Raw genomic sequence first — 25727 nt, 5'->3', positions numbered from 1 at the left:
TAATCGTCCTGATTCAAAGATCAGGTAACTAAGGTCAAATTTGAAAGGTGATTTACCCAAGGCCATAGAGCCAGGCCATGGCATTCTCTAAAAAACTAGTGATTGAAATGTCTAAATCTTTGTTATTGTCAATGATTCCAACACAATTTCTGTAAATTCCCATCCAAGGACTCTGGAATGTGACACTAGGGCAAGCACTTACCTACACAGATGATATGGCTTGGCGCTGTGTTCCCACCCAAATCTTAACTTGAATCACAGTTCCCACAATCCCACATGGGAGGGACCTCGTGGGAAGTAATATAATCATGGGAGTGGTTACCCTCATGCTGTTCTCATGATCATGAGTGAGTTCCCATGAGATCTGATGGTTCTATAAGGGGCTGTTCCCCCTTTTGCTCAGCACTTCTCCTTCCTGCTGCCATGTGAAGGAGGACATGTTTGCTTCCCTTTCCACCATGATTGTAAGTTTCCTCAGGCCTCCTCAGCCCTGCAGAACTGTAAGTCAATTAAACCTCTTTCCTAGAGGTTTCTCTACCTAGAAAAATAGTAAATCAAAAACAATATCACATCTCTGGAGGAAATGTGGAGATAAGTGCCACCATCAAGGACTGGAAAGATGCAGGGGTGGTGATTCCCATCACATCCCCCTTCAACTCTCCCATTTGGCCTGTGCAGAAGACAGAAGGATCTTGGTGAGTGACAGTGGGTAATCATAAGATTAACCAAGTGATGACTCCAAATGCAGCTGCTGTACCAGATGAGGTTTCATTGCTTGAGCAAATTAACACATCTGGTACCTGGTATGCAGCCATTGACTTGGCAAATGTCTTTTTCTCCATTCCTGTCCATAAGGCCTACCAGAAGCAATTTGCCTTCAACTGACAATGTCAGCAACATACCTTTGCTGTCCTGCCTCAGGGATATATCAACTCTCCAGCTTTGTGTCATAATCTTGTTCAGAGAGATCTTGATCTCTTTTCACTTCCATAAGGTATTACACTGATCCATTACACTGATGACATGATGCTGATTGGATCCAGTGAGCAAGAAGTACCAAACATACTGGACTTATTGGTGAGACATTTGCATCCTAGAGGATGGGAAATAAATCTGACCAAAATTCAGGGGCCTTCTACCTGAGTAAAATTTCTAGGGCTCCTGTGGTGTGGGGCCTGTCAATATATTCCTTCTAAGGTGAAGGATAAGGGGTTGAATTTGACCCCTCCTACAATCAAGAAAGACGCACAATGCTTAGTGGGCCTATCGGGATTTTGGAGACAACAGATTCCTCATTGTGGTGTGTTACTCCGGCCCATTTACTGAGTGACCCAAAAGGCTGCCAGTTTTGAGTGGGGTCCAGAACAGGAGAAGGCTCTCCAACAAATCCAGGCTGCTGTGCATGCTTCTCTGCCACTTCTGCCATATGACCCAGCAGATCCAATGGTGCTTGAGGTGTCAGTGGCAGATAGGGATGCTCTTTGGAGCCTTTGGCAGGCTGCCATAGGTGAATCACAGCAGAGGCCTCTAGGATTTTGGAGAAAGGCCCTGCCATCTTCTGCAGATAACTACTCTCCTTTTGAGAGGCAGCTCTTGGCCTGTTACTGGGCTTTGGTGGAAACTGAACATTTGACTATGGGTCATCAAGTCACCATGTGACCTGAACTGCCTATCATGAACTGGGAGCTTTCTGACCCATCTAGCCGTAAAGTGGGTCGTGCGCAGCAGCATTCCATCATCTAATGGAAGTGGTATATACGTGATCAGGCTCAAGCAAGTTGTGAAGACACAAGTAAGTTACGTGAGGAAGTAGTTCAAATGTCCTTGGTGTCCATTCCTGCCACCCTGCCTTCTCTTCCCCAGTCTGCACCGATAGCCTCATGGGGAGTTCTCTATGATGAGCTGACAGAGGAAGAGAAGACTAGGGCCTGGTTCACAGATGGTTCTGCATGATATGCAGACACCACCTGCAAGTGGACAGCTGTAGCACTACAGCCACTTTCTAGGACATCCTCGAAGGACAGCAGTGAAGGAAAATCTTCCCAGTGGGAAGAACTTTGAGTAGTGTACCTGGCTGTACACTTAGCAAGGAAAGAGAAATGGTCAGATCTGCAATTATATACTGATTCATGGGCTGTAGCCAATGGTTTAGCTGGATGGTCAGGGACTTGGAAGAAGCATGATTAGAAAATTGGTGACAAAGAAATTTGGGGAAGAGGTATGTGGATGGACCTCTCTGAATGGTCAAAAGTTGTGAAGACACTTGTATCCCATGTGAGTGCTCCCCAACAGGTGACCTCAGCAGAGGAGGATTTTAGTAATCGAGTGGATAGGATGACCTGTTCTAAGGACACCACTCAGTCTCTTTCACCAGCCACCTCTGTTGTCACCCAATGGGCCCATGAACAAAGTGGCCATGGTGGCAGGGATGGATGTTATGCATGAGCTCAGCAACATGGACTTCCACTCACCAAGGCTGACCTGGCTACAGCCACTGCTGAGTGCCCAAATTGCCAGCAACAGAGACCAACATTGAGCCCTCAATATGGCACCATTACTCGGGGTGATCAGCCAGCTACCTGGTGGCAGGTTGATTATATTGGACCTCTTCCATCATGGAAAGGGAAGAGGTGTGTCCTCACTGGAATAGACACCTACTCCAGATATGCATTTGCCTATCCTGCATGCAATGCTTCTGCCAAGACTACCATCCATGGACTCATGGAATGCCTTACCCACCATCATGGTATTCCACACAGCATTACATTGCCACTGACCAAGGCACTCACTTTGCAGCTAAAGAAGTGTGGCAGTGGGCTCATGCTCATGGAATTCACTGGTCTTACTATGTTCTCCATCATCCTGAAGCAGCTGGATTGTTAGAATGGTGGAATGGCCTTTTGAAGTCACAATTACAATGCCAACTAGGTGACAATACTTTGCAGGGCTGGGGCAAAATTCTCCAGAAGGCCATGTATGCTCTGAATCGGCATCCAATATATGATACTGTTTCTCCCATAGCCAGGATTCATGGGTCCAGGAATCAAGAAGTGGAAGTGGCACCACTCACAATCACCTCTAGTGGCCCACTAGGAAAAATTTTGCTTCCTGTTCTTGAGACATTACGTTCTGCTGGCCTAGAGGTCTTAGTTCCAGAGGGAGGAACACTGCCATCAGGAGACACAACAATGATTCCATTAAACTGAAAGTTAAGATTGCCACCTGGGCCCTTTGGGCTCCTCCTACCTTTGAGTCAACAGGCTAAGAAGGTAATTACAGTGTTGGCTGGGGTGATTGACCTGGACTATCAAGGTGAAATCAGTCTACTACTCCACAACGGAAGTAAGGAAGAGTACACATGGAATACAGGAGATCTATTTGGGTGTCTCTTAGTATTACCATGCCCTGTGATTAAGGTCAATGGGAAACTACAACAGCCCAATCCAGGAAGGACTACAAATGACCCAGGCCCTTCAGGAATGACGGTTTCGGTCACTCCACCAGGAAAAAACCACGACCTGCTGAGGTGCTTGCTGAAGGCAAAGGGAATACAGAATGGGTAGTAGAAGAAGGTAGTCATGAATACCAGCTACAACCACGTGACCAACTGCAGCTACGAGGACTGTAGTTGTCATGAGTTTCCTCCTTCTTTTGTTAAAAACATGTTTGTGCATGTATACACTTGTACTAAGAAAATATCTTCGTTTTATTTCCTTTCTCCTTATCATGTGACATAAGATTTATTGACTTCACATCAGCATTTAAGTATTGTTAACTTTATGTAATGGTATTTGGGTTGGGCATTGGTTGTATGAAGGATAGTTGTATTATGTTAGGCATAATTATGACCTTATTATTTTCTTTATTTGGAGATTATATATGATCTCAAGAGATGTGCATGGGTTCAAGTTGACAAGGGGTGGATTTGTGATGGTTAATACTGAGTGTCAACTTGATTAGATTGAAGGATACAAAGTATTGATCCTGGGTGTGTCTGTGAGGGTGTTGCCAAAGGAGATTAACATTTGAGTCAGTGGGCTGGGAAAGGCAGACCCACCCTTAATCTGGGTGGACACAATTTAATCAGCTGGCAGCATGGCTAGAATATAAGCAAGCAGAAAAATGTGAAAAGGTGAGACTGGCTTAGCCTCTCAGCCTACATCTTTCTCCCATGCTGGATGCTTCCTGCCCTTGAACGTCGGACTCCAAGTTGTTCACTTTTGAAACTCAGACTGGCTCTCCTTTCTCTTCAGCCTACAGACAGCCTATTGTGGGACCTTGTGATCATGTGAGTTAATACTTAATAAACTCCCCTTTACATAGTTCTGTCTCTCTAGAGAACCCTGAATAATACACAGACGTAATCAAACTAAGATGAGGTCATTAGGGTGAGCACTAATCCAATATAACTGGTGTCTTCATAAGAAGAGGAAGACGCCATGTGAAAACAAACACAGGAAGGCTATGTGAAAAGAAACCATGTGACAGCAAGAGGCAGAGACTGGAGTGATACAGCTGCAAGCCGAGGAATGCCAAGAGCTGCCACCACTGCCAGAAGCAAGGAAGACATAAGGAAGGACTCTAGCGAGAGTCTTAGAGGGAACATGGCAGTCCTAGGAAACTAATACTCATGGTAAAAGGTACTTTGCAGATGTAATTAAATTAAGGATGTTGAGGTAGGACGGTTATCCTGGATTATCTGGATAGCCCCAATGTAATCACAAGGGTCCCAAGAGTTTTTATAAGAGAGACAGGAAAATCAAAATCACAAAAGGCAGGAGTTATGATGATGGAGGCAGAGGGCCAGAGTCAAAGAGGTATTTGTTAGAGATCTCAAGACAGAGGAAGAGGCCATGAGCCAGGAATGCACTAGGTCGCTAGAAGGTGAAAAAGGCAAGAGGTTGCATGGCCTGGCTGACAGATAGATTTGGGCTCAGCAAAATCCACTTTGGATCTTTGACCTCCAGAACTATGAGATAATAAATTTATGCTGTTTTACACCATTAGGTGTGTGATAATTTGTTATAGCAGAAATAGGAAACTAGTACAAGATAATGTTTTCCCTGGTTAGCTCCTACGGTTGATGTACTAAAGACAAAACCTGTAAAGAATATGTATTTCAGTGTTATCATGATTCTGGTTTTCTTAAAGATACACTAGGCATGCAATTCCAAAATGTTTAATGAATACATAAATTAATCAATCAAAATAATTTCAACTATACAAAGACATGTAAACCAAATTGTGTCTAATAGTAACTCCCTAAGGGCAAAGATCCTACAATAAAAGTCTCTACAGTACACAGCACAGCTACATTCACATAACAAGCCTTTTCTAAATATTCTTTGAGTAATCAGAAAATGAAAAAGGTCCTAGGAAAACCCCAGTAGCCACTAGGATTTAAAAAAAGACAAGAGAAGCCATCAGATAAGTTCTTCCTTAGAGTATGCACCCCTCCTCCTATCTTCACCCATTGAAAATACTATTGAGTTATAGAATATGGCCCGTTTCCTTTGGGTTAAGTTTATTTTTTTTGGATCACTCCTGGTGGCTAATTAGCAGCCTGAATGCTTCCTTATAAAAAGCCATGTTTTCTGCACATTAGGGCATTTCCCCTTTCAGGACTGGAGACAAATGTTTAAAGGATGATCCTAGCTAACAAAGTAACATCTGGCACTTAGTATCTTGCTGTGACTGATTGTCTGATATATCACCCCAAAGTGAGGTGCAGTAGAGCCCTAGAATGCAAAATGCTTCCTATAGCGTCAATACTCCCAGTGAGATGAGAAACATTGAATGAGGAGACTGTGTTGGGACAGAGAGGCCAAAGAAAAAACGTAAGTAGTAATACATGATCAATTTCATGATTATGCTTTACTATAATGTTTCAGAAACTAAACCTAAATAAGTATCAAAAAAGACTACATGGGAGCTTTTGAAAGAAACAGAAAAATTAATAGGCTTGTGTAAAAACATGCCACTACCTGAGACTGTTATTTCTAAAAATAGCATCTATAATCTGGCAGACTGGTCAAAGCCACAGGTTTTGGGGTACAAAGAAGCAAAGGGTCTGTGCCCAATATACTTACCCACTTGGAATGCGATGTTGGGCAGGAGATGTAACCTTGGGCAAAGTATAAAGTTGGTGCAAAAGTGATTGCAGTTTTTGCCATTACTTTTAAGGAATGAATTTAGTAACAGCATCTGCCATTACTTTTAATGGCAAAAACTGCAATGGCTTTTGCACCGACCTAATATTTAATCTGCAACTTGATATCCAAATATGCAAAATTGGGTTCATTGATATCTTATTAGGTGGTCCTGAGAATTTTATAAATAATATATGTTAAATGCCTAGCATAATGTCTGATACAGAGTTATATTCTTAAATGGTTAACATTTATTGATTGGTTACCATGAGGCAAGGCACTGTGCTAAGTGCTTTGGTTATGTTACTGAAAGCAATGGAGTAAAGGTGGTTCCAAGCTCACCAAATGCCTGAGTTCATAGCCCAGCTTCATTTACTCTCTACATAATCTTGGCAAAGTTACTTAACTTCTGTGAACCTCAGCTTCCTTGTCTCTAGAAGGAGACAGGCAGGATTATCTACCTCACAGGCTTGTGGTCAGAATTAAATAAGCAGATATGTTCACTGAATTTAGACACAGTGATTGGCACATGATAAGCATTCATAAGTGTCACTGTTATTAGCATCCCTTCAATCTTTACAACCAGTTACTACAGATGCTGTTACTAAATTCATCTTATCAACAAAGAAGCAGAATTAAAAAAAAAAAAACTCCAAGTGAGCTGTAGATCCAGGATTCAATTAAGGTGGCTCTGTACTTGGTCCAAGATTAATTACGTTAGATGATGCTGAACGCCAGAGCCCACCAAATCTATTTTGACCTTCCACCAACACTTTCCACAATGAATTGGCTTTATTACTTTGAGAAATTCTTTAACCACTCAGTTTTGCATTTGTATAATGGGGAAACTAATATTGACACTTCATCAGGAGGTGAAGATTTAAGGAGATGGTGTAGTAAATCCCATACTGCAAAGCCTGGCACATAGAAAGCCCTCAAAATATTTCAACTACTGTAATAAATATTATTAGTAGAAGCCCTGAAGACCAGCAGTCATTTAGTGCTCCACCTCCCTTTAAAAAATGGAGACCAAGTTTAATTCTCAGTACTTACCCAGGACATTGCTTCATACCATGACACTGTCCTAGGACCTTTCTGAAGTAGCAGCCTGCTTTGACCCTGGGAAAACCTTTGGCCACAGGAAACAATCACTGTATCTTGCAATAAAGGACAATGTCCAGGCTGTTTCTGCAGTTTACTTTAGACTGAATTTCATGATAAACAAAATGCGGGCTGGTCAATGTAGAGATAACCACTGCTGAGAGTATACTGGCAAACAAATGACTATGACTTTATGGCCCTGAAGTGTTCAACTAGTATAGACCTGGTGTACAGAAACAAAGGTACTGAGTGACACCATGGCACTGGGATACCGGTTGGGAAAGGAAAATCATTCAAGGTTAAGCATAGGGTGAGAACTATCAGTGATAAAACAGCATAACTTCCATGGGGGCAAACAGTATTCTCTGAAACATTAGCATAACTCCTGTACTTTTCCCACAGTGTTTAAAACGATGGTGAGATAATTGATTTTGCATTAGCGATTCCAAGCATAGTATGTAAAAATATTACAAGCCTACTCCTTAGTTGCTTGCCAAAGAAACCTTAAGAAACTGGTAAGAAACATATTGTTTACTTAAGCACAGTGAAAGTCCTTTATATCCCAGATGCTGAGGAACAGCACGAAGCCCTCCTCATGGGTTGGCAGTGCTCTATCAAGGATTCATGGGATTCATCAGGTTTTGATGGGAACTTAAGTTGATAGGAGTAGAGTGGTGGTGAGCTAGGTAAATACTAGCTTGGCTAAAATAGAGTTTCATTGTTCCTGTTTGACAAGCAGTTCCCTGTGGCAAGCAGCCAGAGAAAACTTGGCTAATTGTCAGAAATGGACATCCATAGAGCTACTGCCCAGGGTGAAGTGAGCTGATGCAGGTCTCATAAATGACTAGTGGGTTAAAATACAGGGGAAAGGAGAAAGACCTCTTCGGCTATTCAAAAATCATAAAAATGGCATTGAGCTATAAAAATAAAGCAGACAATTGGCCTTAGAATACAATTTCTTTTCTTTCTCCTTTTCTTTTTGTGAGTATTCCAATAATATTTTCACAGGCTTTCGCATGAGTGAGAGAATCCTGTTTCTGACTCGAAGTTACATTTATTCGCTTTATCTATTGAAAGGAGAAGCAGTGGTGAGGAATGTGGCTAGGAACATGCTACAGATTAATTAAAATGCTGTGAATAGAGAGGGCCTAACGCAAATGGAATTTTCAAGACAGAAAAAGTAATTAAACATGAGTGAGGAAAAAGAGAGCTGCTGTTCTTGGTTCATCCTAAGCTGAATATGTCAGCAAAGGCCATAAAATGTGGCCTTTCTTTATCGAGGCATATTTCTCCTAAAACAACAGCAATAACCATGGTAGTTTTAATAATGGTAATGTGCTTTAAGTTATTCGTGCTTTAAGGACACAAGAGAATCCAGGTTTGGGGGCATAGAGCTTAACCAATTTGGCCTCCGTCTTTGAGAAGAAAAATAAAAAATTACTAATGCTCTATTGCTGGGGTTGCCAGATAAAATACAGGACTCCTAGTTAAATTCGAATTTCATCTAAAAAGTGAATAATTTTTAAGTATAATATTGTCTCATGAAAAATTTGGGACATACTTGTACTATATATATATATATATATATATATATATATATATAGTATTCATTTATTATATACTTGAATCTGATATTCAAACATAACTAGGTATCCCATATCTTTTTATCTGCTAAATTTAACAACCCTGCTCCTAAGGTCTTGGAAGAGTCCCAGAAAATGTGAGAGGAGCCCTGAAGTGAAGCTTCATTAATTTCACAGTGAATCTGTCCTTGAGCCGGTGCTACTAATTGCTGCATTTCATAGATGCAGAATTTGGGGCCATGCTTAGCCGATAGTATCAGATTTGGGGAACCGTATATTTAAAAGAATTTGAAATTATTGTTAAAGCTTACAAGCCATGTGCAAAAGGTAAATGAAGATATCTTGCACATCATATGAGGTAGAATAGAAGGAATTAGAGTTGTTCTGCTTAAATAAGAGTAAAGAAAATGATTGATTACAAATTTCATGAATCAAAAAAGTATAACATCTCAGAATTGAGAGAGACTTGACAATTTAAGTAGTCCACACTGGTTTCAATGTTTGAATCTCCTTGATGACTTCCTCACCAAGGATTTTTTTTTTTTTTTTTTTTTTTTTTTTTTTGAGACAGAGTCTTGCTCTGTCACCCAGGCTGGTAGCATGATATCGGCTCACTGCAACTTCTGCCTCCCAGGTTCAAGCAATCCTTGTGCCTCAGCCTCCCGAGTAGCTGGGATTATAGGCACGCACCATGCATGGCTAATTTTTTGTATTTTTAGTAGGGACAGGGTTTCACCATGTTGGCCAGGCTGGTCTCGAACTCCTGACCTCAGGTGATCCGCCCACCTCAGCCTCTCAAAGTGCTGGGATTACAGGCGTGAGCCACTGCACCCAGCCCCTGGCCAATGATTATTGGTCATATTGTAATAGTTGCAAACCTTAGCCACTAAACAAAAGTACATGTAGAAGAAATCTTTTTTTTTTTTTCATCTAAGTAAAATAAAATCTGACTCTAAGCCTCATGCCTATTTGGCTGGCAGGAAATTCTGTCACCATTACTGAAGGCCCTTTCTTCTCTCAGGGTCACTTTAGAGTTCAGGAGATTAAAGGGGTAAAAGCCATGACTCTCCAGCCTGTCACAGTTGCCTCTAATGTCCCAATTTTTTAAACCACTAGTGGTCCCTGAAAAAGTGGTGCTCTTTCCACATGTCCCACAGTAAACACCATGGCAAGACTGAAAACCCTTTGCCTGGAGTTCAGCCTTTCCCTTGGTGCATCTTCCGCTTTGGAGCTCTACCGGAGTGCTGCCACTGTGACCCAAAGAAGACACCAGTCATCCCTAGACATGGGGTACCTCTGACCTCACTGCTTCTCAGAGACAGTTACTTTCTGGCCCTTCTCACCAAAAGGCTAGGTTTGGGAGAGTGAGACATCACAAAAATTTATATGATACATTTTTTCTAATATATATATCTGAAAACCTTTCATATTAGGAAACTCACTAAGCCTAGGAGTGACCTAGTCCATCACTGGTCAACTCTGACAGTTTTTAAAGTTGAATCCCTATATCTTTTACCCATTGGTATCAGTTGAACCCTCAGGAACACACAGTTCCTGTCCAATCTAAGAATGGCGAAAAACTTTAATCCGAGTTACGGTACAGAATTTACTGCTGAAAGCACCTTGCTGAGGGGGATTGTGAGGCTGCATCTGGTGTTTGAAGGGAACAAAGGCTTTGTTTAATTATTGATGTCTGATAAGAAACATGGCGGCATTGTGGGACACTGTCAAACCTGGACTAATCCATCTTCTGAACAATAATCCTTCAAAGGTTTGAAGCCCCTTGAGTTGTCATTTCTCCAGACCAAACACCACCACCTCCTTCAGGCATCTGCTTTATGACCCAATTTTAACTTCTCTCACAAATTGTCTTCTTCCTTCTGAGCAAAAGTCACTATTCCTGTCTCCCTCTTCAAGTGTAGAGACCAGAAGTGACCATAAACATATGAAGATGTCTATGTGGGAAATGCTGGCCAATTAGGCCTCATCTCCAAAGATTATCCAACAGAAGGAGATGAGATGTAGAAAAACAGCAGATACCTAATCTTGATACAATGAAGATCTTGTTCATTTGCTTTTAGTTCTTCAAGCTTCAAGTCTCTATGCTTTCAAAATGCCAATCTCTCTCTCCTTCCTACTACTCCCTTCTTTATATTCTTCACTGCTAATGCCAATTAATTTTTAAAATTAAAGTGGCATCTCTTCTAACCTCATTAGTCAGGGCCAGGTGCTCTTTCTGTATTCCCACCAGCCCTTGCGATGCCTCTAGCAAAGCACTTTCCACCTGCTGTTAGGATTGTCTGCTGGGTTCACCATCTCTCCATGTTGATTTCTGATGCCTGAGACACTGAATTACTGGTCTGGAGGTTGACATTTTAACAAAATGCCTGGCACCTAGGAGGGGTATAAATATATGTACTAATGGAAATGGATAATTTGTGTGATAAAACACTGGAGTGAACACCAGTGGGACAATCTGGGAAAGCCTCCTGGTGCTCATCAAAGACATGAAAGCAGACAGAGGTGTTGTTCACTGGGATTCTCCTTTCACTTATTCACTCATCACTCATTACATGCAAGAAGAGCTCTGCTCAAAGCATCCCATCCAAAAAAAGTAGATATGCATGTCTGCTCATAGAGTAATGAGACCTATTAGGAGCAGTGCATGAAATTTCCATATTGATCTCCAGTCATCTGATAGAAGCCTTCACTTGCTTAAGCCCCATTACACTAGTATTTTTGTGGTGGCCCAGGGATTCACAATAGTGACACTGTAATAGAAACTAAAAAGGCAGGGGAAGGGGGAGTTTTCAAAGCATGGCTTTCAGACTATAGGAACATGGGCAAAGATGGGAACATGGGCAAAGATGGGAACATGGGAAATGTGTCAGGGCTTGCCCCAGAATCTCCCTGGCTCCCTTTCTGCGCTGACTGCACAAGATAGGGCAGAGACCACTCTGATAAGCATCACACAGCATAAGCAAAATCCCAGGAGCACTTTGAAAGATGCAGGGACAGGAAGAGCATGGTGATAAAGGAAACCAGTATTCTACAGACAAAGATAAATTAATAACCCACACTGAAGGAACTGTCTCAACTCATCTGCCACTAGGTTTTCTTTTCAGAGATGACACCACTGACAATGCTTACAAGATAGAATGAGATCAGATTTGCCAAAGGGGCATGTGTGGGCTCCAAGCCCTATAATCCCTCCCCAGCCATACCCAGAAGATAAACTTTAGGTGGCAAATTTTACTTGGTGTAATTGGATATTTTTGTCTTGCTTCCCTAGAGAAGCTACCATCAGAAGTGGATATGTTAAAATCACATAAAATGGGTATTGTTTTAAGAAAAAAAAAACTATGTTTTTTAGAATTCCAATTAGGCAAATTTTTTAATTTCCTGAGGCCTTTTTTTGTAAAAAGCAAATTAAACCTATTTGAGGTAGGCCCTGAATGACTGTTATTCGATTCTGTTGGGGGCATTTAGTCTTGGCTGTGCCTAGAAAAGAAGATTCACAGTAAATGGCCTATGGGGGTGACTGCCATTTACCCCCATGTTTTCATAAATGGAAGCAGCCAGGCAAAGAGCACAGCTGTCACATTTCCTAAACATGCATCGAGGGTGGGAGCTACTTGAGCAACAGCCAACGTGACAGGCAGGTTGCCTCACAGAGCAGATCTAAAATTTTATTAGCAACAATTTGAACTGTTCAGGCAGGTTAAACGCCTTGTGTTTATGTATAAAGATAGATCAGTTCACTCATCTTGCATTTTCCTTGGCTGTTGATCAGTTCTAAAAATGAACCTGCAATGTGTCCAGTGTTCCCTAATATTGGAAATGGTCAGTGATCAAAAGAAGAGTGAAGCACACCAGATAAATGAAAAATTCACCTGGACCAGAAATCTGAAAAGGTTTGTTTAATCTTCTTCCCCTGCGCATCTTCCCCTTGCAGATTCCAATTGGAGTGGAAATGCCAGGTTGCTCAGAGAGACAGTTGTCCTTGTAATGTGTCTTGGCCAATTGGAAACTGGCAGCATTCAGGCTCTCTTGAGAACTTCTTCTTGCCAAGCTCCTAAGACATTTCCCAAGACTTAGTGGATTGGCCAATTGTACAACATTTCACTAAGCACACAAACTTTTCATAGCACATTCCAGACTTTTCAGAACACTGAGTTGTTAGCGAAGTGGGAAAAAAAATGGCGTTTTATTCTTGTCTCCTGAGATGCTTCCAAATGTCATCATCATGGTCTCCCTAAAAGAGTGAAATGTAATGCAAATTCCCTTTAAGGTAAGGCTAATTAAGGGACACTTAAGTTTGGAGGAAAAACAAAAGCATAGATGAAACCACTTTAACAAATTAACCAAAAATTCAATTCTGGTCCTTATAAGAACTTAACCTTTTGTTCAGGATCAGTCATAACATCATTAACTTCATTCAAAGAAATATATTTATCCTGAGAACAGAATAGAAAAAGTCAATAACTAGATTCCAAAACTTTAAAAGAGAAAGATAGATCTCTAAATTACTAGATGAATTCAACCTTTTGGAAAAACATTTTGTATTTATTAAGAAGATTTTTACTGTAGCAGGGGGAAATTACTAAATTGTTAGCTGAGAACCAATGGTGGAAATTATGTGAATGCCTACTTCACTTGAACCCTTCTAAAATTATGGTGTTGATTCATGTATAATTAAAAGCCCTCAGAAAATATCCTACAGCCTGTGATGGGGGTCATTAAATAAATTAGACTAATTCTGATTTTACAAATGCAATTGTAAATTAAATAAAGTATCAAAAACAAATTCAATCACAGCTGTTTGGAAGAGTTTGTCGCTTAAAAACTTCACTTATCACCAAATAATATAATTAGGCAATTACCAAGTGACAACTGAGTGATGATTATAGCAGTCAAAGCAAAAGGGCAGAAGTCTTAAACTCCCAGAAAAGTCACTCACAGACAGATCACAATCAATCAAAGAGGGTACCTATTGACTAATTTTGTCTGACTTTCAGGTCAGCAACAGCTTTTGCCAGTTGGTGACTAGACCCACAACCAGTGAATCCATTAGGCACAGTAGATGCAGGACCTAGGGCCTGCAATACTTTTAGGGGTCCATGAAAATGTGTTAATTTGTTTTAAAAACAGAAGAAAAAAAACCATTTAGGTTAAAGAAAATAGTTTAGCATGTAATGTTAATAGAGTCATCTGGATATCAACTCAGTCATGAAACATAATTTTTACTGTGATGTTTATAGAAGAGGGGCCCATGAAGGCAGAAGCACCCAGGACCCATGAACTCATTAGGTGGCCCTGTCTAGACCTTCCCACGGGACCCCAGGTCAGTCAACTGCCTTGGTGAGGGCCAGGGGCCAGCCAGATATAGGAGGGAAGATGGAAGGAAGGCAGGCTGAATGAGGTACAGAATGTGGTCAAGAGCTTTATGGCATAAGACTAAGGGTGTAGGTCACATGTAGGCAAGAGATCGGTTTTACCAAGAGGGTGGCAGGCCTGAGGTTATAAGCTATATAAAACCAAAAGCTTTGTTTTCTTCACCACTGTATCTCCGTATCAGGTGTGGTGCCTGACGCATAATAATCTAGAGTGTGTTATGGAAACTACCAAACAGTGTTAAGAAAGGAATATGTCCCTGTCATGCAATTACTTACCCCACTTCTATAACTACTAGCACCAGCTCTAGTGATTCCTCAACAATATGCTTCTTTTACGTCCACCTTGATCAACTGTCTGCCACCGGGAGTAAATTCACACTGAGGCAAGCTCGGTGGTGGCTAAACCATGGATCTCAGTTAAGTCTGACTCCTTCACATACCAGGACTGGAACTTTAAGAAAGTTCTTTACCCTTTCTAAACCTCAGTTGCCTCATATATGACATGAAGATATTTGCTCCCACACTAAGTGTCATGAGGACAAAAAGAGACCATGTGTGTCTTCTGCTAAGCCCAATGACCCCAACACTTAGGTTCCTTTTGTGTCAATTCTGTATTACCTGGCACATAACCACGTTTAATAATATGTCTTTACTAGTGCCCCTAAAATTTGCCTCTAAATATTTGCAGTTGGCTCATTTTCCACGCAACTATTAACTAAAGATACTCCTAGATTAAAAAGTGAAGATGAACAGAAGCCAACCAGCTGCTTGGTGGCCCAACTGATTATTAAGTATTAACTTACACCATCACAAGTTCCCACAATAGGCTGTCTGCAAGCTTGAGGAGCAAGGAGAGACAGTCCAAGTCTCAAAACTGAAGAACTTGGAGTCTGATGTTCAAGGGCAGGAAGCATTCCGCGCAAGAGAAAGATGTAGGCTGGAAGGTTAGGCCAGTCTCACCTTTTCAAATTTTTCTGCCTGCCTTATATTCATTGGCAGCTGATTAGATTGTGCCCCCCAGATTATGGGTGGGTCTGTCTTCCTCAGCCCACTGACTCAAATGTTAATCTCCTTTAGCAACACCCTCACAGACACACCCACGGACAATATTTTGCATCCTTCAATGCAATCAAGTTGACACTCAGTATTAACCATCATAACCTAAAAATTCATAATGTTAAAAAATTTCAAATGTTTTCTAGCAGTATAGTCATTAGACTTTCCTGTTGTATTCTGAAGTATTGAAAGTGTTTTCCCTCCCATGTCTCAATATCTCAATGTGAGTAGCATCCAAATATTAAATATTCATCAGCTTATGTATAAAGCTTTCCCTTAAAATTTTTAGTATTAAATTCTATCTTTTTAATCTGAAATTTTATTAGAAACATTCTTAAACAAGGAAAAACACCATCCAATGCCAATGAGTTTGCAAATATAACATCAAATTGTTTCAACACATTGCAAACACAAATGGTCTAATATATTTCATTGGACATTATGCAATTAAAAGGATACTTATTGGCTCCATAGGCTATGTCATCTAGCCCCATCATCTATTTAGACAAGGATTATTTCTAACCATTATAATAAGCAAATTGAATAATGGGACTTTCAGGCCTTGTAAGGTCACATTTTAGTTAATTTTAAATTCTTCTGGTGAATGTATGAAATTATGGTAAATTTATTGCTTTTAGAAAGTGTTCTACAGTTATTCTGCATCCATTTGAACCCTTTGAATTAAGCCAATTAAATCCATTTGCATTATTATTTCTGTTATAGGCAGGTGATTGAATTTTATCAATTTCTCCCCTAATAGCCAAATCATACATCTACTTGCTACACTAAAAATCATGCCTTTCTCCTACGTTATTCTACCTTTGGCTTCTTCCCAGTTTTTCTCAGGAACTAGTAACAATCACTCTTTGAAATATAGATGGGAAAATCTTCATCACTATTCCAAAAACATTTTTACTTTGGTGAGTTCATAAGCAATCTTTTTCTCACTAGTGTATATTTTAGATATTTAACTCATAAATAAATTAGGCTTATTCTAGTCATTTCCACAAAGATTCTCCTCTTGGTCTTCATAATACAGAGTTTGTACCTTGGAAGACAATCCTAATGCTCTCCTGACCAGTCACTTTATTTGCAGATAAGAAGTTCTGAGTTCTTATTTTGCTTAATATCTAACCGAGAGCATGCATGTTAACCTAATTTATATTATCCCTGCTCTGCCTAACATAAAATTCTAGAAAATAGACATCACTCATCAAGTAGTTCAATCAGGATATGCCATTTATGTTCCCAAGTCATTTGATTCCACTGGGCTTTCTCTTGCAGCTGTCAGTCTCTTTAAATCCTTTCTTACTTTCACCCTTGTCCTTACTTTTTTCTTTTTTTTTCATCTTAAAATTTTTTTTTTTTATTTTACTTAAGTCTCAGGATACATGTGCAGAATGTGCAGGTTTGTTACACAGGTATACATGTGCCATGGTGGTTTGCTGCAGCTATCAACACGTCATCTAGGTTTCAAGCCCCTCATGCATTAGGTATTTGTACCTTATTTTCTTTCATATGTAGTCACACCTGACCTTCTCAGTCTTTTTTATTTCCCCAGAGCAACTTCCATTAGGTTCCCCAGCTCTCTATGCCTTATTTTCAGCTGCCTTCTTAATTTTTGAATAATCTCCTACCCTGAGGCCCTTCTAGCTTCATCTTCAACTAGCTTCTGAAAGCCCCCTTCTGCTGGGAGCTTCATTATGCTGATTTGCCTGCCAGCTACACTCTCCAGGCCTCATTCGCATGAATGTTGTCCTGGACAAATCAAAGTGCCGACACTTTAGGAGAAAGGCGCTGTCTGTTTCCATCTCTTCTAAAGCACCATGTCTGGCTCTAAAAATAACATCTCCCATCAAAATAATGTTCCTTAACTCAGTGTCAGAGCCTATCACCCAAGCCATGGCCAGATCTGCAAAGTCAGCTTCCATTCTTCCTTCAGATTCTTTTTTTTTTTTCAAGTTTTCTAGAAGTTCTAGGGCCAAAAGTCTCCCAGAAGGTGAAAAGGAAGGAGAGGTATTTTTTATAATAAAAGGATAGGAAAAGCCATTGTGAACGTTGTAGGGTCATTTTGTGCTAGCAGCAAAAGGGCTGACTATTCATATGATGTAGAAATGAAAAGATGGGTGATTTAATAAAAAGTTCTGAGGCTTTGCTGGTTTTATCTCCCATCTCTTTCATTTTCAGAGATATTTTGAAGGTAGTTTACACAATAGTAATGATCTATCATTAGTTTGGTTCCCTAAAAATCTCAAGTTATCCAAAAGGTTTTTTGTTGTTGTTGTTGGCTTTTTATCTTTAAAAAGAGTAACTACTCAAATATTTTTAAAATTTCTAATCATTGTATAGTACGTGAGCAAAGTGAAATGTGGTATTTTTTATGTTTAAATATATATATAGATGTAGGGAGATTGTTCAAGCTAATTTTCATTCCATTTACATTCAGAAAGGAAAAGGTCTCTATATTTCAGGGGTCGTCTATAGTATTTTGTTTTTATGGAAACATTAGGAAGAGGAAGCAAATTATGCAGGACTCCATTTAGTTTTGATTGCCTCAAAATACAAACTGCTGAGGTTTTATAGGCTTGCACTATGGAAAGAAAAATACTTACCACCTAATTCCAGATATTTTGTGACTTATGAACCACTAGACATAAAATCATTGAGTCTCCAGGGCAAGAAAGAACCTAAAGTAGAAACAAGGCAATCAAGCCAGTCAATAATGAAGATCAAAAGTAAAACTTTCATTCCTGAATAAGCCTGTTTTGAAGTTTTACAATATTTGCCTTTTTTTATTTATTTGTTTTGGGCCTGCATACATCTGGTCAGAATCTTCCTATTCCTCATTTCTAGTGGTTTTCCTAACCCAATTAACATTTAAGGTACATTATTTACAAGGTAATGGTAGGACTTGATTTTTTTTTAAAGTTAAAATAATTATGTGTTATTTATTTACTTAAACAAAGGTCACACATTCAAATGTCTTCAGGAGCTAAACGGATGGCCTATTGCATTGCACAACTCCAAGGTACTATTAATTTCTGACGTATTCCACATAAATGGTGGAACGCTAATAATACATAAATGGAGCTGAGAAACCCAGTGGACTGCCTACAATAGATAAAGTAAATGTGTAAAATGGCCCTGGACCAAACTGTAGGAAGCAGAGGGGCCTGTTGCCAAAGGAGGGTGCAGGACCCTGCAAACAAAGCAAATGCATATCTGCAAACTGAAATTTGGACAGTAGGTCAAATGTTTATGATTTCATTTTATAAATAGATTAGGGAAGTATTTGTCTATGGATAACTAGATTGTATCTCCTATATTATTAAAATTATTCTAGTGCCATGTCTGATTTTCAGTTTTTTAAAATTCTCTTTCAATTACCAGATTTTAAGGAGAATTTAAAAATCAAAAGGCAGTATAGCAGTGGGGGTCCATGCTATACCACAAGCAGATCGATCACAACTTATATTGTCTATTAGTACAGGAATGTAATGACAAATCTGTTTCCACAGCAACACATAATTTTTAGATCCAAATGAAGTTATTATTTAGACATTCATTTATTTATTTGTTTTGGGCCTGCATACATCCTGCTTCTTCGCATCTTCATCCTGTCCACATCTGTCCAATGATTGTTCAACAAAATTTATTTTTTCTCAATAAGTAGGCAAGGTACTCTGCAAGGTGGCACAGTCCTTAACTACAAAAAAGCTTACTGTTTAGATAAGTAACAAATATGTACACAAAGGTATGTGGAATTGCTATATATCAGTTGTTTTTAAAATGCAGCAGTTGGTACAAAAAAGGGAAAAATTGGGGGATATAAGAAAGGCAGTGAATGTATCAAAGAGATATCTGCACTCCTGTGTTTATCACAGCACCATTCGTAATAGCTGAAATAGGGAATCAACCTAAGTGCTCATCAATAGATGAATAAAGAAAATGCGGTACATATACAATGAATTGGTCCATTCTCATGCACTATGAAGAAATACTGGAGACTGGGTGATTTATAAAGAGGTTTAGCTGACTCACAGTTTCGCATGGCTAGGGAGGCCTCAGGAAACTTACTATCATGGCAGAGAGGGAAACGAACACATCCTCCTTCACATGGCAGCAGGAAGGAGAAGTGCGGAGCGAAGTGGGGAAAATCCCCTTATAAAACCATCAGATCTCATGAGAATTCACTCACTATCACGAGAACAGCATGAAGGTAACCACCCCCATGATTCAATTACTTCCTGCCGGGTCCCCCGCCATGACACGTGGTGATTATGGGAACTACTATTCAAGATGAGGTTTGGGTGGGGACACAGCCAAACCATATCATACAAAATGAAATATTATTCAGCCATAAAAAGAATGAAATCCTGTCATCTGTGGCAAAATGGATGGAACTGGAGGCCATTACGTTCAGTGAAATAAGCCAAGCACAGAAAGACAAATATCACAGGTTCTCACTCATATGCAGAAGCTTAAAAAGTAGATCTCATGGAGCTAGAGAGTAGAGTGGTGATTACTAAAGGCTGGAAAGTGGGAGGGGTTGAAGGGGAAAAATAATATAAAGGTATTTATTAACACTCAACTGTACACCTAAAAATAATAAAGACGGTAAATTACATATGTATATTTAACCTCAAATTTTAAAAAATTTTAAAAAGAAAGGCATTGAAAATGGTCTTTGAAGACGGACCAGTTCAAAGTCATGTCAGAAAAAAGTAGTTGGCATCATGCCACACATAAAGCATTCCATTAGAGAGGATATAAAGGCAAGAAAAGATGTGACCAATTTGAACCATGTGGGTGGATCCCATGGAAACTGTGGAGGAGTAGATGGAATAACAAAATTATGAGAAAGATAAGTTGAAGTGTTACCTTACTGGCTGCTCCTTTTTAGACGGATTTTCCTTCTCCAGGTCATTCCCTCTTCTCCCCTTTAAATAATACAGCTCAGGCCTTGGACAGCTTCCATTTTCTATTCACAATCACATCCTTTATGATCTCATCTACTCTTGTGGATTTAAATGCTATCTTTATTCAGATGACTCTGAAATTTGTGTCTCCACTGCATACCCTGAACTCAAGACTTGTACATCCAATTGCCATCTATACGTAGAAGCCTAATGGGCATCACAAAATTAAGAGTATTATCTTGATCTATTTGGGATGCTGTCACATAATACCACAAACCAGGTGACTTATAAAGAACAGAAATTGACTTCTCACAGTTCTGGAGGCTGAGAAGTCCAAGATCAAGGCACATTCAGTGTCTGGTGAGGGCCCACTTCCTCTTAGACAGTGCCTTCTCACTGTGTCCTCACATAGTGAAAGGGACAAGGAGTCTCTCTGGGGCCTCTTTAATAAGGGCATCAATCTTATTCATGAGGGCTCTGGCCTTATGACCTAATTACCTCCCAAAGGCCCTGCCTCTTAATACCATCACATTGAAAGTTAGGATTTCAACACAGTAATTTGGGGAAGACACAAACATTCAGTCTACAGCAAATGCTAAAGCTGAGTTCCTGGTACTCTCCACCAAGCCTATTTCTCCTCCACCCTTCTGCATACAATTGATTTTCTTGCAGATGCTCAGACCAAAAATCTTAAGGTTACTCTTGACTCCTTTCTTTCTCTGATGTCAACAAACAATTATTTTAAAAACCAAAATTTGACCATTTCTCATCATTGCCTTTGCTGCCATCACTCTGGCCTGTGTCACATCGTCTCTCACCTGGATTTCTTCAATATCTTCCTACCAGGTCTCTTTGCTTCTTCCCTTGCCCTCTGTACACAGAATTCCCAACAAAGGAACCAGAATGGTTCTGTTAAAACACCAGGCAGATCATGTCTTTCCTCAGCACAAAATACTAAACCAGCACCCACCTTGCTCATAGGAAAGCCCAAATCCTTACAAGGACCTTACAAGGAAGCTAAGTGAGCTTTCCTTCACTCAGCTTCAACCAAGGGTGGCCTCTTTGTTTTCCCTGCAGCTTCCACCTCGAAGCCTTCGTGGCTAGCATTCGCTCTTCCTGGAGGCTTTCCCTGTGGATACCCATGCAGCTCCCTCAATTTCTTACACCTTTTTTGACATGTCGCCTTCCCATTGAGACCTACTCTGGTCCGCGTGTCTAGAATGGCACCCTCCCTCCCCTGACTCCCACACATCCCCTTCTCTGACTCATTGTTCTCCTTAGCCCTTATCACTGTCTGACACATGCATTCTGTATATTTATCTTGTTTATTCTCAGCTCCCTCTCTGATGTAAGCGCCAAGAGAGCAGAGATGTTTGTAGATTTTGTTTATTTTGTATCTCCAGCATCTAGAACAGTATCTCCTAGGTAGTAAGAACTTAATAAATACTTGGTGACTGAATTAATAAAGAAGAGCCTTAAATGGTTGCAGGCAATTAAAAAACACTGAAGATGTTTGAATGGAATCTGAAGAAAGAGTAATGAGCAACAAATCCCTGCCCAAACCTTGAACTAAGGTATATGGAGGCAGAAATGGCATTTTGGGAAAATTGTTGAAAAGCAAAATGTCAGAAAAATTCCGATGCTCATGTTCCTTCATGATAATTCAATCTCTGTTTATTTCTGACTTGATTTTATCAGGTCAGCTTGGCATTATGGAAGAAGTGAAGGTATTGGAGCAAAAAAAAAAATCTAAGTTTAAATTCTAATTTTTTTAAATTTTTAAGTTTTTCATTTTAAAATTCTGATTCTGATTGTGAAGGTCAGTTTCATCCATAAAATGGCAGTTGTAATTAAAATTCATTTTTATGGGTTGTAAGGATTACTAATTATTAGTAATATACATAAAATATACAGCAGGAAACAGGTATTCATAAAATCTTAATCCCTTTGCTTTAACAATTAGGAAAAACAGAGCATAGCTAGTCTTCTAAACTTATATGCCTTTGCATAGTTTATTCACTAAAATTCTTGCTAATGTTATGGGTAGAAATTATCAACCGACATTTGACTAATATGCTCAGCAATAAAATGTGCCTGCTATACAATTTCTTCTTCTGTGTATCATTAATTTTTCTATGATCCAGGCTTTCAAATTCCACACTTATCTTCTAACTATTCCTTCAATGCTCAATGTCTTTCAGTATGCCCCACCAAAATAACTTTATTGAATTTAAAATGCATTAATTTTTTTATTCTGTACTTCTCTCATAAAAAAGCTTTGAAAATTAATTTTAAAATTGATTTAAACCAAAAGAGGTTAGGATCACTATATCCCACTCCAAATTGCCCATATAATTTCTGTATTAGGCAAAGTAGAACTAACTAATCTAGTGGTTCTCAAATATTTTGGTCTCAAGATCCCATTACATTTTTGAAAAAAGTTATTGTGGACTCTCAAAGAACTTTTGTTTATATATGTTCTACCTATTAATATTTATCACATTAGAAATTAAACAGAAACAATTTTTAACACAAGAATATACAAGGATACATGTCATTAGCTGTAAGAGAAATGACATTATCACACATCTTAAATCATCTGGAAAAACTCTGCTATATAATCATGACGGAATGAGAGTGGCAAAGGTAAACAACATCATGGCATTATTATGAAAATGGTTTTCACTTAGCAAACCCTACACAAGTGTCTTAGGAACACCTAGGGGTTCTTGGACCACACTTTGAGAACCACTTGCCGAATCTTTGTTTAGTAATAAGTAACTCGAGCCCGGGCGGTGTGGCTCACACCTGTAATCCAAGCACTTTGAGACACCAAGGTAGGAGGATCACTTGAAGCCAGGAGTTCAAGACCAGCCTGGGAAACATAGCAAGACCTTGTCTTTACAAAAACAAACAACAAAACAAATAACCCCCGAATTCTCAGTGACAGATAGGCATTGTCTATCTTATAGCTAGACCACCTGGAACATGTGGCTTTACCTCAACAAGAAAAGAGACAGATAGGAGAGGCACCTAACTGGCTGTTAACCACTCAGACTCAGAAGTATACATGTCACTTCCACTCACAGTTCATTTGCCAGAAGCCGTCACTCGGTCCCAACCCACTGCAAAGGAGGCTGGCAGACTGGAAATCCACCATACTGACCTGCTTTAAAACTTATGACTAACCAGCCTTCTCCAAGTACAGCATAGAGAATCATCATAGTTGTGTTCCCTTCAGTCTGCTGAGCAGAACCCAGAGTCATGGTGTTTACACAGGCAGGGACCAGCAGAGAAGTGGCAAACAGATTCAGGATAAAGTTCACTAAGGGAGTAAGTAAGTGATTGGATCCAGTTACAACATCATTGCAATCTAAGACTTATCTGATTTATATGCCATAGTTTCTTCATCCACTTGTTGACTGATGGGCATTTGGGTTGGTTCCACAGTTTTGCAATTGTGAATTGTGCTGCTATAAACATGAGTGAGCAAGTATTTTTTCATATAATGACTTATTTTCCTTTGGGTAGATACCCAGTAGTGGGATTGTTGGATCAAATGGTAGTTCTACTTTTAGTTCTTTAAGGAATCTCCACACTGTTTTCCATAGTGGTTGGGCTAGCTCACATTCCCACCAGCAGTGCAGAAGTGTTCCCTTTTCAACACATCCACGCCAACATCTATTATTTTTTGATTTTTTGATTATGTCCATTCTTGCAGGAGTAAGGTGGTATCGCATTGTGGTTTTGATTTACATTTCCCTCATAATTAGTGATGTTAAGCATGTTTTCATATGTGTGTTGGCCATTTGTGTATCTTCTTTTGAGAATTGTCTATTCATGTAAGACTTGTCTGATTTAATGAACACTTAACACATATGAGCCAGAGGCTGCATTTTTGGTCTCTTTTAATTTTCCTGAAAACCTGATGTGTTACACACCATCCTTATACCAATTTCTAAGCTGGGAAATTGAGACACAGAAAGGTTTAAATAACTTGTCCAGGGTCTTATGGTTAGCGCAGAGTGGGCTGGGATTTGAGTACAGATCTTTTGGACTTGAGACTGTATTTAAATGGCTTGGCCTCACAGTACTGCTTGCCTGAGGCATTCTTTCCTTGAGGAAATCCTTCATTATCATAAAGGTCTTTTTGGAGTTTCCTCAAGTTGACTTCATCCCCCAAACTGGGTGAGGAACATGTGACCCAACTGTTAACAATCCAACACCATCAGTGTCACTTGGTGAATCAAAATATCTATAAAGGTTGTCTTTGCTAAATTTCATTCACTGTGTCTTAACTATCTCCTTGAAAGTTCCAATGTAATGCACAGGACATGAGGTACTGGGTTCTTGACCCATCTCTGCATGGGATGAGTCATATCACTTTCCCAATTTGTATAGATGAGGAGGCATAGGTGGTGCAGAGATGTGGGAATCAGACAAACCGACCGATGCTAGGATCCCTGAAATGCCATAAACTGTTGCTGCAACCTTGGGCAAGGCATTTAACTTGGCCATGCTTCAGTTTCTTTCTCTGTAAAATGGAAATAGTGATGCGATAATTTAAATATTACAGTGAAATGAGAAGTATATGAAAAGCACCCTTGAAGGTCCATGCACCAGGTACATGTCATCCAACACTTCCATTCCATCCTTCTACCCTGTACCAGTAGAATGTACCAAAAAGAGCCCCAAGATCTGTCCCAAGACAAAAACTGTGATTCTGTTTAAGTCTTTTAATCAAATTAATGCATCTGCAATCCCTCACCAGAGCATTCACCTTTGTAAATATAAGAAAAACCCATTTATATACAACTGTTATATAATATTAATGCCTCTTTTATATAAGGTTTTATTCTTTTATACTTTTCAAACACATTGAAACACATATCAAGGCAGTTTTTTTCTTAGATGAAATGCATAAAATTTAGTCTGGCAGAGTTTCATTTTGATTTGCTCAGGTTGTCTGCTTCCTTCATTTACGAAGCAGGTATGGGGTCTACACACTACAGTACAGTGTTTAAAAAGACAGAATGCCAAGAACTGGTGCAAACATTTTGTAAAGCTTTTCAACAATATGTATAAAAAGCCTTAAATTACTACAGAAAGTTAATCCTGACTAAAGAAAATGTGAAATTATAAATATGAAAAAGACTTTATATACAAAGATGTCCAACATGGGATTATTTAAATTAGTTAAAACATTGGCATAATCTAAATTATCCAAAATTGGAAATTAGATATGTAAATTAGGATAAATTCCAATTATGTTATTTTATGATATATATGAAAACTTATAATGATATGGTATATAATTTAGGAACACACTCTGCTGAAAATAAGAGAAAAATCTGGTTAATAGTGGATTGAGCAAGGAAAGGTTTGTTCTTCTTGCCTAACAAGAGGCCAGGGGACGGGTGGTTGCTGTTTTGTTGTGCAGCTGCTCTGTGATAAGGTTAGAACGTGGGCTCTTTCGTATGGTTCATGCTGTCACTGACAACTCTGCGCTTTTTATCCGTAGGC

General features: G+C 39.5%; 1 long non-coding RNA gene across 2 annotated transcripts in view; it reads right to left on the bottom strand.

Annotated features, from left to right (window-relative positions):
- LOC101928219 (uncharacterized) overlaps positions 1 to 23503 on the bottom strand; it is a 182425-nt gene extending 158922 nt beyond the window's left edge. For both annotated transcript variants that reach the window (XR_001738162.2, XR_246378.6), the window contains exon 1: positions 23371 to 23503. This is a non-coding gene — a long non-coding RNA (uncharacterized LOC101928219). The remainder of the gene's footprint in view (positions 1 to 23370) is intronic.
- Between the last annotated feature and the right edge of the window lie 2224 nt (positions 23504 to 25727).

This window comes from Homo sapiens, chromosome 1, assembly GCF_000001405.40.
Source record: "Homo sapiens chromosome 1, GRCh38.p14 Primary Assembly".
Lineage (NCBI taxonomy): Eukaryota > Metazoa > Chordata > Mammalia > Primates > Hominidae > Homo > Homo sapiens.
This window is presented reverse-complemented; position numbering and strand designations above follow the sequence as displayed.